Genomic DNA, 12,881 nt, shown 5'->3' on the forward strand with positions numbered 1-12,881 from the left:
GGCTTTATCACCTGCAGCCCTGCTTTGGGGTGAATGGGGTAGAAAGTCCCACACTCCATCAGAACCTAGGAGGCAATAAGCAACCAACTCAAAACAGTCTCCCGAGGGAACTAGGGAGGCAAGTGGGAGATGGCCTCATAGTAGCTCCTTACAGGCCTCCCACCCTCTCTTGTTCTGGGAGGATCACAAGGCATTTCTCCAAGACTCAGATATGCTATGGTTCAAGCCTTCACTATATGGATACATAAAAAGTAATCAGGATGCCATGGCACAGCCATTCTCATATAGATAGCCCTTCAGAGTTGTCTCAAATTGAGGGGAGAGGGTCAGGGCTTTATCTCTCCGCATCAGCCACCCCCTGCTTGGGGCCGTATCCTTGGGAGAAGCAATTCCATATCACAGCTTGAGCCATCAGCCACCCATATTCCCAGCAGCTGGGGGATGGTGCCTAGGACGTAAAGAGCAGAGCTAGACAGAGATCCACAGTATCCTATCAATGTTATATTATTTCGAGTCAAACTGCATTTATGATTGTATTAAGATGTTTTCAGAGACAAGAAAGAGAAAACCTGATCTACAGGCTTAAATGATGAGGACATTTATGAAAGTGAAAAAAAAAATGTCCAGGAGGGTAGCCCCAGGATTAGTGTGGTGGTTCAATGAAGTCATTAAAGGCCCAGGCTCTTTCCATTTTTTCATTATATTGTTATGAGATGTTAGCTTTCATTCTCAGATTTGTAACTTCATGGTCACAAGGTAGCTGCTTCACCTCCATAAATCAAGTCCTTGCCTAATTTTGTTTAAAACAGAAAGTGAGGGAGGGAAGTAAAAGAGGGAAAGGAAAGTCTTTCCTAGAAGCCCCCAGCAGACTTCCCTTATGATATATTCACCAAAACTGGGTCATATGACCGTCCCTGAACAACCACTGGAGAAGGGAAGCACCTTGGACCAATCATGATTACCTTCCTAGAGCTTAGTACGTTGCCATTTACCTCAAATCAAATTCTATTAGCAAAGGAGGAAGAAGAAAGTGTTTGGCTATAGGGTGTACTAACCACCTGTATCTGCCACGTTTATTGCCAAAAAGAGTCATCAAAAGTGCTTAGTGCTCTGAAGGTAATGCAAATAATGACCCCTATTTTCCTGCCTCCTGCTCAAAAACTTTCAGGGCCTCTTGAAAGGGCTCGTATTTGCATCTGAAGGCATAGTAGAACCAATAAGATGTAGAAAAGAAAGACATGTCTGTAGGTTAAAGAAAAGGAATAAAGCAAAAATACCCAACTAAAACAACATGAATAGTTCCCCTCTCTTCATGTACTCATGTACCCATAGGTATATGGGCACACAAGTACACAACACATATATACTTAATTTCTAGAAGAAGCACATAACTGCATTGTAGATGTCTCTATTGTTAAAAATAAAGATGCAGAGATTCACAAATGAAATTTCATTTAAAATGAGAGAAAATAACTCTGAAAGGAGCTTTAGTGGTAAACTCAGCAAACTGAAGTGCCGTTGAATAGTGCTCCAACTGGATATTGGAGAACTCAACAATTGGACAAACACAATTTTGATAGTAATTATTGAGATGCATGAACTTTAGTTGTTATCTTCTGAATATTAGAAACATAGGAGATGACACTACGAAAAGCACACACCAAACTTTAACTACAGTCATAATAAATAATACTAAAGACAACACAAAAGAAGCAATAAAAGCTTTATATACTAAACTCCAAGAGTTAGTGAGGTCTGGATAAACTTCATTTTCTTTTCCCTGTTTCAAAATTCACCCTGATACTCTTTGCCTTCAGAAAGTCCCATTGAATGAGCTTCTGAAAATAGCACTTATTTGGCAACTTGACCGTAAGTATAGGGTACAGTAAAGATGGAGTAGTGAATCCCCAAAGACCACTTCCAGGTTTGGTGATTGGCTGGAAGAATTCAAGGGACTCAGCATACAGTTGTACTCATGGCTATAACTTATTACCAAAAATGATATGAAGCAAAATCAGCAAAGGGAAAAAGGCATATGAGTGAAATCTGGAGGAAGCCAGGCACAAGCTTCCAAAAGTCCTTTCCCAGTGGAGATGCACAGGACATGCTTAATTCTTCCAGCAACAAGATAAAACAACACATGGGAAATGTTGTCTATCAGAGAAGCTCATTAGAGACTTAATGCCCAATGTTTGTATTGGACACTGGTCATTTAGGCACCCTCTGCCTCGCACATACCAAAATTCCAGACTCCCAGAAAGCAGCAGGTGTTCTGCATAAATGACATTGTTTGTACAAGCAATTGAGCCTCATTAAAACACCCTTATCTGTGAGGGAGTTATGGAAACACTCTCAAAATACAAGTCCCCAGCTGCCAGCCAAGGGCCAACCTTGCAAGTAGGCCTTTATAAGGAGAGCAGTCTTGGGCCTGCTGTGTTAACTGCACAGATGCAAAAGCAGAGGGTCTGCTTCCTAGAGGCTGACTGGCTGGCTGACTCACTGCTGTTCCTCCTCTGAATTTACCACACTACAGAGAAATCACATGTAAGGGACCTCAGCTGGCTCCTTTAGAACATGTCATTGGCTTGCCATATTGTCCCAATATTTAGCATTTTATCTAGCATCTATTTTGTTGAATCAATAACTAAATGCTGCTCTCCTTTCTTCCCCTGCCCCTTTGCCCTACAGAAACAGTACCAGAGCTTTCCCAAGAAAACCATAGTGACCCTCACAAAAAATTAATAGTGTATCAACCAAATAAAACATATAGTGGGATTGTAAAGCTACAGGGCTGCTCTTCTGGCATGTCTGGTAAGTTGACTCTTGAGTCATTTCCTACAGAGGACCTTCCATCCTGGTCTGAGCAATGGCCCCATTCCTGGTATTAGGCCAGAAGTGGATTGAGTGGCCCAAAGGAGGAGCCCTCATCTGGCTACTCCATTAAATTCTGGCTGCTTAGATTCTAATGCTTGCCTGAAAAGTCTATCCCATTACTTGATCATTATACTTATCCCAATTTCCACTTTGAGCTAAGTAGGACGTGAACAATGTGTCTTTTTATGTGATAAAAAGAAAATATTTTCCTGTTTTAATACCTGGATTCTTTGAGAAAAAATGAGTATGAATTCAGTTAACCCTAAAGTCACTTGCATTAAAAAATTTTTTTATTTTTGTTTTTAGAGTTCATTTCCTTGTTTGAAAGGGAATGTTTTCTGTTGTTCTGTCAAAGGCCTTTGACTGAAGCAGGCCCACGAAGTAACTCTTCCTTCCCTTTATTCCCTTGGGTGTTCCAGGATTTCTCTTTGGGTGACCCCGTAGTATGCCACCAGAGCTTCATGCATGACTTTTCCAAATGCTACCACTGGAATTTGACAGCAGGAAGTGGTCCCTAGAATTTATTAGTATAAAGAGCTTCCAATTATTCATGTCCTCTTTAGTCAAAACAGTAAATATTTCACTTGGCACCAATTTTATTTTATTTCCTTTCTGAAATACGTAGTGAAGACAGAAGCAACAGCAGGAATGGGCTCATTTGGTGTAAGAGACCTCAGGAACTTTCTGTGCTTCAGTAGCTCAGGCTTGCATTTATGTTTCTAATTCTCCACTTCTCTTTCCATCGACAACATTGTTTGTTAAAATAACAAAGGATCCCCTAAGTCTTGCTATCTTATATTATCTTAAAATAAATGAGCAAGAGTCTTTCATTATTTCATAGTTTTCTTAAACCAGTATCCTTGAGAAATAGCAAATGTAAGCAGGCAGTCATACAGATCAGCAATAGTTTGTGCAGATCTGAAAGAAAGAAGCTGCCCTGGGAAGTAGAGAACCGGGTGATCTTTGTCATTGAGCACACCATTACCTGTTTATTCTCCCTTCATACATTTTGATGGCACTGTCCTCCTTTTCTCTCCCACCCTTTCCTAAAGAAAAAAGCTGAACCATTCCCCCATCTGGATGCTGATCAAAACATGCTGTGTATTGCCTTTTGTTCTCACCTTGATGCTTTTTTCTGCCAACTGAATCAACTCTGACCTGATTTGAGTAATTTAATCTTTACTCCATCTCTTGACTATTTGAAGAGCTCCTTAACTGTTCTTTCTTTCTATCCTCCAAGCCAGTTCTAATAATATTGTTACCTACACAATATTATTATTTACTGGCTTCCCACTGCCCTCAGAATAGGCCCAAGCACCTTAGTCTGGCATTCCCAGCTGTAAACAGTTGAGTGCCATGCCTCATTTCACTTATTTATGTTTGTATTAGTTCATTTTCACGCTGCTGATAAAGACATACCCAAAAGTAGAAACAAAAGAGATTTAATTGAACTTACAGTTCCACATGGCTGGGGAGGCCTCAGAATCATGGAGGGAGGTGAAAGGCACTTCTTACATGGTGGCAGTAAGAGAAAAATGAGGAAGAAGCAAAAGTAGAAACCCCTGATAAACCCATCAGATCTCATGAGGCTTATTCAATATCATGAGAATAGCATGGGAAAGATCAGCCCCCATGATGCAATTACCTCCCACTGGGTCCCTCCCACAACACGTGGGAATTCTGGGAGATACAATTCAAGTTGAGATTTGGGTGAGGACATAGCCAAACCATATCAATGTTTTATTTGTTTCTTTATTTAATTCTCATCTCGATCTTGATTGGTTCATTTATTGGCATATTCATTTATTCAACATTTCTTGAATCATCTGTTTTGTTTACTAAACCCAGTAGATTAAAAAATAAAAAAGAAAGAAAAAAGACATCTTTCTTGTCACCAAAAGATTTATAGTCAAGTTAGGGAGACAATTAAAGTGGAGTTTAATAAGTTTAGTAGGGGCTATGATGAGATGTGTACACAATACTATGCACTGAAGAATTAGCAGATAATTCAATTCCCTTGGTCTTTGTAGGTTATAAAAAGACAAAACTTTTCTGTTTTATACCTGGACTTCTTGAGGCAATTGGGCATAAATTCAGCTACTGCTAAAGTCAATTGCATTTAAAAAAATTGTTTTAAGGTTTATTTTCTTGTTTTAAGCAGAACTCCATGTTTGCTCTTGTTCTATCACAAAACTTATCAGGCACCTACAGTAATGCAAGCAATGGGCAAACACATAAAATATCAAATCAAAAAAGAAAATCACAGCAAGTTTCTCAGAGATGCTATTGCTTCAACAATTGGCCGGGTCATTAAGGACTCCCTGAGCACCCAAGCCCTCTGCTAGCTGCCATCAAAATGCCCTTGGCAGAATGCATGGCATACCTTCTGCTCACTCCATTTCCTCGCCTGGAATACTTTCGTATGTAAACCCCTTCTCCTCATTTTTTGTGGCCTAACCTAATTGTACGTCTTCACCTGCTGTGAGATTTTTCCAGGATTCCTGCTCTCACCTTTCCAAAGCCCTACAGCACATTGTGCTTTTCTCATGGGGCAACTTTTCAGTTATTTTAAATGAATATTTAAGGTAATGAAAAATAATTTAAATTACATAGATGTATGTATAATGAAGAGTGAAAGACCATCTTTATCCCAACTCTACTCCTATTTCTGTCTCCAGAAGCAAGTCCTGTCAACAATTTTGTGTGTGTTCACCCAGAGCTTTCTTTGGGCATTTGCACACATGCATGCATGTGTACACACACATATAATAGAAGTTTTTTTTTTAAATAAGTGAAATCATACTCTACATTGTTTTGGAATTATCTATGAGATTATACTTGGACAAACATTCATGTCAGTACATAAATGTGTAGTTTGTTGTTTTCAATGTAATATTTAGATGGACATTTGTTTTCTGACATTCTATTGTTAAAAAAACCTGCTATGCACATTTAAATATATCCTCATGTATGTATGTGACCATTTCTATGGATAAATTTATAAATGGAAAATTTCTAAATCAATGAATATACATATTTTAAATGTTGGTAGATATTGCCAAATTGTCCTCCAAACAGGCTATTCCCATTTAGGCTCCCACAGAGTCTTCAGACCCTCAAATAGTGGCACTTTGCACATGTTTGACCTTCCTTAGTAGATGCTAGGAAACATAATCTTGAGGCAGGAACTACATCTTTTATATGTTAGCGTCCCTGGTGATTTCTAGCATAGAGCAGTGCTTGGCACGTAACAAACATGTTCGATAAGTATTTGTGGAAACAAAATGAACTGTGTAGATGTAAAACACCAGGCTCTTTCTGGAGGCAAAGAAAGCATCATTTGGTTTTGTGGAAGATCTCTGATCTGGCCCCTGTAGATTGGAATCCTATTTCTAGTACCTGACTAAGTACATAGTTATATTAATGGCACAATCTAGTTAGATGCCATCTTACAATGAAGATTTTAAATAAGATACTTTGAGGAGTTAGTAGGAAGTTCTAAGAGTAAAGGCCCTAGACTGGGGCTAAGGAATAAATCATATTAAAAGGCCTGGAGCTCCAGGGTCTCCTCTTGGCACCGTAAGAATGTGGCCAGTAATCCTCAATGCATACGAGGAATGTGGAGGTACAGGAACCTACCAATGGAGCCCAAAAGCCCGAACAGGAAATAGCACTTGCACCTAATTGCTTCAAAGTACAACTTTTGTGCACTTTAAATTGGAAGGTCTGGGTTACAACCCCAGTTCCATGACCTTTAGCACTCTACATACTTTTTATGAAAGTTGCTTTGCTCTTTTGTAAAATGGAAAGAACAATCCTACTGGGCTATTGTGAGAACTAAGAATGAGCAGGTGAAAGGAGCTAGCACAATGTCTGGTACAAAGTAAAAGCCATTTCGCACTGAGCAGGGCACAAAAGAGGACTGCCTCAGCTGATTTAGCACAGACTCACTTAGGAACATCATCTTTAAAGCCTACTTGGGCTGGTTGGCTTGTCCATTTTATGTGTGAGTTTCAAAGGCACCTTCTCAGAAAAACATATCAAGAAACCCAGATGTAATTATTTTTTTACTTCTGTTTTTATAGTTATTAATTTTCTTTTTCGACAGTTAAGATAAACTTCAGTTCTTAACACATAAATCTCATATGGATGTTGTCTTAGTCTATTCTGGCTACTGTAACAAAATACCATAAACTGGGTAGCTTATAAAAAACATAAATTTGTTCTTTTGGCTTAGGATTGACTTGGTGATGCAGGCTCTATTTTGGTTCCATATGAACTTTAAAGTAGTTTTTTCCAATTTTATGAAGAAAGTCATTGGTAGCTTGATGGGGATGGCATTGAATCTGTAAATTAAAGCTGGAGGCATCACACTACCTGACTTCAAACTATACTACAAGGCTACAGTAACCAAAACAGCATGGTACTGGTATCAAAATAGAGATATAGATCAATGGAACAGAACAGAGCCCTCAGAAATAATGCCACATATCTACAACTATCTGATCTTTGACAAACCTGAGAAAAACAAGCAATGGGGAAAGGATTCCCTATTTAATAAATGGTGCTGGGAAAACTGGCTAGCCATATGTAGAAAGCTGAAACTGGATCCCTTCCTTACACCTTATACAAAAATCAATTCAAGATGGATTAAAGACTTACATGTTAGACCTAAAACCATAAAAACCCTAGAAGAAAACCTAGGCATTAGCATTCAGGACATAGGCATGGGCAAGGACTTCAGGTCTAAAACACCAAAAGCAATGGCAACAAAAGACAAAATTGACAAATGGGATCTCATTAAACTCAAGAGCTTCTGCACAGCAAAAGAAACTACCATCAGAGTGAACAGGCAACCTACAAAATGGGAGAAAATTTTCGCAACCTACTCATCTGACAAAGGGCTAATATCCAGAATCTACAATGAACTCAAACAAATTTACAAGAAAAAAACAAACAACCCCATCAAAAAGTGGGCGAAGGACATGAATAGACACTTCTCAAAAGAAGACATTTATGCAGCCAAAAAGCACATGAAAAAATGCTCATTATCACTGGCCATCAGAGAAATGCAAATCAAAACCATAATGAGATACCATCTCACACCAGTTAGAATAGCAATCATTAAAAAGTCAGGGAACAACAGGTGCTGGACAGGATGTGGAGAAAGAGGAACACTTTTACACTGTTGGTGGGACTGTAAACTAGTTCAACCATTGTGGAAGTCAGTGTGGTGATTCCTCAGGGATCTAGAACTAGAAATACCATTTGACCCAGCCATCCCATTATTGGGTATATACCCAAAGGACTATAAATCATGTTTCTATAAAGACACATGCACACGTATGTTTATTGTGGCATTATTCACAATAGCAAAGACTTGGAACCAACCCAAATGTCCAACAATGATAGACTGGATTAAGAAAATGTGGCACATATACACCATGGAATACTATGCAGCCATAAAAAATGATGAGTTCATGTCCTTTGTAGGGACATGGATGAAATTGGAAATCATCATTCTCAGTAAACTATCACAAGAACAAAAAACCAAACACCACATATTCTCACTCATAGGTGGGAATTGAACAATGAGATCACATGGACACAGGAAGGGGAATATCACACTCCTGGGACTGTTGTGGGTTGGGGGAAGTGGGGAGGGATAGCATTGGGAGATATAACTAATGCTAGATGACGAGTTAGTGGGTGCAGCGCACCAGCATGGCACATGTATACATATGTAACTAACCTGCAGAATGTGCACATGTACCCTAAAACTTAAAGTAAAATAAAAAAATAAAAATAAAAAAATAAATCCAAAAATAAAAATAAAAACAAAAAAAACAAAAAACACATAAATTTATTTCTCATAGTTCTGAAACTGGAAGTGTAAGAGCAAGGTGTTGGCAGGTTTAGTGTCCATTGAGGGCCCACTTTCTGATACATAGATGGTGCCTTCTAGCTGTATTCTCACATGATGGAAGGGGCAAGGCAGCTCTCTGGGGCCTCTTTTATATAGGCACTAATCCCATTCATGAGGGCTCCACCCTCATGACCTAATCACCTCGTCATGGCCCTTTTCTTAATACCATCACACTAGATATTAGGATTTCAATGTAAGAATTTTGGTGGGACACAAACATTCAGACCATAGCAGATGGCATGACCACAACAATGTGAAGGGACAGATGCAGGGATTGGGCTGAATGTAATATGCCTCTGTGTTCTAGAATGGGGAGGGTGATAACAAATCAGAGATTCTGTGACCATAAATCATTTCTATGCCTTCAGGAAGAACAGCAGGAAGCACTGTGAGCTGCTTGGGCTCCTGAGCTAAGGAATGAGCTAAGGATTCATTCCCACAGAATCTAAACTGGCAGAGTGGAGACAACCAAAGCAAAGAATAGTTGAATGTCACCAAAACATTAAGAAAATCTCCCATGATATCTTCTTTTTCTCGTCTCACCTTTGTTTGTTTTATTCCTTTCATCTTTCCTTTTCATTTCCACTTCCCACAGTCTCTGTCATCTTTCAGGGCCTAGTGCCAAGCCTTCTTATATACTTCCTAACATTCTTCCTGGGTGGCATTTTTCATATTATGGTTTCCTTTCAATTTGTCTGTTTCCCTCCATAGCCCATTAGTATCTCAATGGTATTGTTTTCACATTTCAACTTCTTTCTCCCATGCCCTGAGCTTTAGTACAACGCCTTGTACTAAATAGTTTTCCAGTAACACTTTTTAAATAATAGATAAATGCAAAGAAAGAGAAATGCAGGCATGGTAATAGTGGGTGGATTTGTGGCCAGGAAAATGACTGTCTCAAAGACTGCTGAAGATGTTCAAGGCACAGTTCTTTCACTGCGCACTCTTTCGCTGAGCAATTCTCAGAAGTCAAAACATAAATTATCTTATAAATAGAGAATAAACATGTGTCAAGGGTTTTATTCAACTCAGTCACTAATGATGGAACCAGCAAAATGCTACAGCTGATTCTAAGAATATTTAAGGCACTGGGGTTTATGTAGTCCTTTTAATAAAAGAAAGTTAGCTTAAGATTGCAATTTGGGTATAAAACTGGTTAATGTTCTCATTAGCTTTAACCTTTGGGATTTTCTTTTCTACAGGATAGAAATCATTTGCATCTCCACCAAATACAAATGTACAAGTGAAGGGAATGTCACAGAATCAAAGCCCTTAATTAATAGTAAAAAGCAAAGTTAAACAATGGTATATTTTCCTAGAAAATTAAATAATTCATGAGTAGGCCTGACAATTATTCATGATGACATTGAAAGGACATGTAGTCATTCTCTTGGCCTTATTTGCAGATTGTGGATAGTTTTTCTTTCCCAATTTTCAGCTCTTTTTACTCTATGCTTTCTCACTGGACCAATTTTCTCCATACCTAATGCTTGGCAATGATTCTCAAATTTATAACTTCAGTCCAGACCTTTCTTCTCAGCTCTAAACTTGCATATTACATCCCCTAAAGATGTAGTTTGGCTCTGCGTTTTTGCCAAAATCTCATGTCAAGTTGTAATTCCCAGTGTTGGAGGAGGAGCCTGGTGGGAGGTGATTGAATCATAGGGGCAGACTTCCTCCTTGCTGTTCTCGTGATAGAGTTCTCATGAGATCAGGTTGTTTCAAAGCGTGTAGCAGCTCCCACTTCTCTCTCTCTCTCTCCCGCCAGCCATGTGAAGATGTGCCTGCTTCCCCTTTGCCTTCCGCCATGATTGTAAGTTTCCTGAGGCTTCCCTAGAAGTAGAAGCTTGTACAAGCCACAGAACTGTGAACTAATTAAAAACCTCTTTTCTTTATAATTTACCCAGTTTCAGATATGTCTTTATAGCCATGTGAGAACAGACTAATACACCTACTGACCAGCAATGCAACTGTGGGGAGATCATTTCACTTCTCTGTGCCTTTGTTTCCTCCTCTATAAAATGGGATTAATAATAATACCTACCACATGGAGTTAAAGAGTAAATGAATTCATATATACAAAGTGCTTTGAACAGCATCTGACACATAAGGGTTTGCTGTTACTATTAATTCTCAAAATCTTTATTTAGATGTTTCAATGGTACTTAAACACTACTTGTCTGAAATCAAATCTATCCCATTCCTTCCTGCAAACCTGCTTTGCTTCCAGTATTCATTGCCACAATCAAGGACACCACCATTCATGCAGTTATAAAAATGAGAAACTAAGGGCTATCCTTTATACCTCTTCTCCTCACTCCTCATACCTAAGCTATCAATAAGTTCTGTCTATTATATTCCTAAGTACCTATTGAATGCATCAATTTCCCTCCATCTCCACTGCTGGCACCCTAGTCCAAACTGCTTTCATCACTCGCCTAAATTACTACAATATCCTCCATAATGGTTTCCCCATAAACATTCTTGCCTCTCTCTAATCACTCTCCACACTGAATGATCTTTTAAGAATGAAGATCTGACTATGCTACCCCTCTGCTTAGAGCCTTGCAAAGCTTTCCACTGCTCTTTCCATAAAGATCCAACTTCTAATAAAGACTCTTGTGTGGCATCATTCCCCTGAGTATATGTGGGCCAGCCATACTGGCCTTCACTTACACCGTGACCATGCAAGGCTTCATAGCTAAGCCTCTCCCTGTGCTGTGTCCCCTGCCTGCAGTGTCTGTCCCCTCTTTACCTTGTTGACTCCCAACTCAAACAGCACCTGCTCAGGGAACTCCCCTGAATCCTCAGATCAGGCCAGATTCTCCTCTAAGCATCATGTATTTTTCCTCTAAAATATTTATTGCCTGTTATAATTATGCACTTAGGAGTGTAATGAATGTCCATTTCCCCTACTAAACTGGAAGCTCCATGAGAGTAGGGGCCAGGGCTGTTTTTCTCAGCATTGTTTACCCTGTGCCTTGCAATGAGCTTGCCTTGTAAGGAGTCTGGTATTTAGGATACGTTTAATGCATTCTTGATGATTGAATGAGAGAACCCAGAGGACAGACTTCAGTGGAATCCTGCAGGATTCTTTGCCCTGTTCAACATATTTATTAGTGATGTGAATAAAATCCTAAAGATACACTCATCAAAATTACAGGGGTTAAAAAAACCCAGAAAAATACAACAGACCCAGGATTCAAAAGGATGTTAAAAGAATAAAAAGTAGGCAAAGTAAAAGGCAAACTTTAGTCAAAATACATTTAAAGACATTCATTTAATTTTTTTAAAAAAGTTCCTGTAGAAAGACATTATAAGGGAGACTACTTGCTAACAATCCATTTGGAAGTAGCCAGGCAGGGGTGGGAAGAGGGAGTGCTTGGGTGAGTTAATAATGTGCGGGCAGTAGAATGTCTGACACTATTTTGGGCTGCATGTACTGAGAAGCTGGCTGTCCTGAAAGTGAGGGAGAATGTGGATGGTGTCCCTTGTGCCTAACAGAGTCACGGCTGACAAATAGTGTTAAATTAGAGGATGGGGAAAAGGAAACACGTACACAACACAGTAGAAAGAACACAGGCTATTTTGTCTGAAGAAGACAGAGGTAATAATTGCTTTTCTTCAGCCCTGTGGTATGATAGCCAATGTTTATCAAGGCCTTACTATAGTGTGTTCCAGGCATTATCTTGTTGAAGCCTAACACTATCTGTATAGTACAGGTATTATTATCTCCATTTTATGGATGAATAAAAGGGAGACACATGGTAAACACGCACAGCTCTAAGTGGTGAAGCTGGGATTTGAACTGGATTCTAGAGCCCATTTCTAGTGAGGCCTACTAGAGAGCCCATGGCTTGCTTAGGCAGACCCCTTATTAAGGCCACCCTCCAGACAAGGGACCAAATATTTGTGTGTGGCTCCAGATCCAGATACAAACTCCATGAATGAAAGAAGGAAGCAGATTTATGTACTATTTAAGGAACATTTTTCTACATGGGAACTTCACAAAATTCTTTCTCAAAGATAGTGAAAATTCTAAGTCAAGTGGACATGCTAAAACCGAAGCTCCATCACTACC

The sequence above is a fragment of the Homo sapiens genome, chromosome 6 (assembly GCF_000001405.40).
Source record: "Homo sapiens chromosome 6, GRCh38.p14 Primary Assembly".
NCBI lineage: Eukaryota > Metazoa > Chordata > Mammalia > Primates > Hominidae > Homo > Homo sapiens.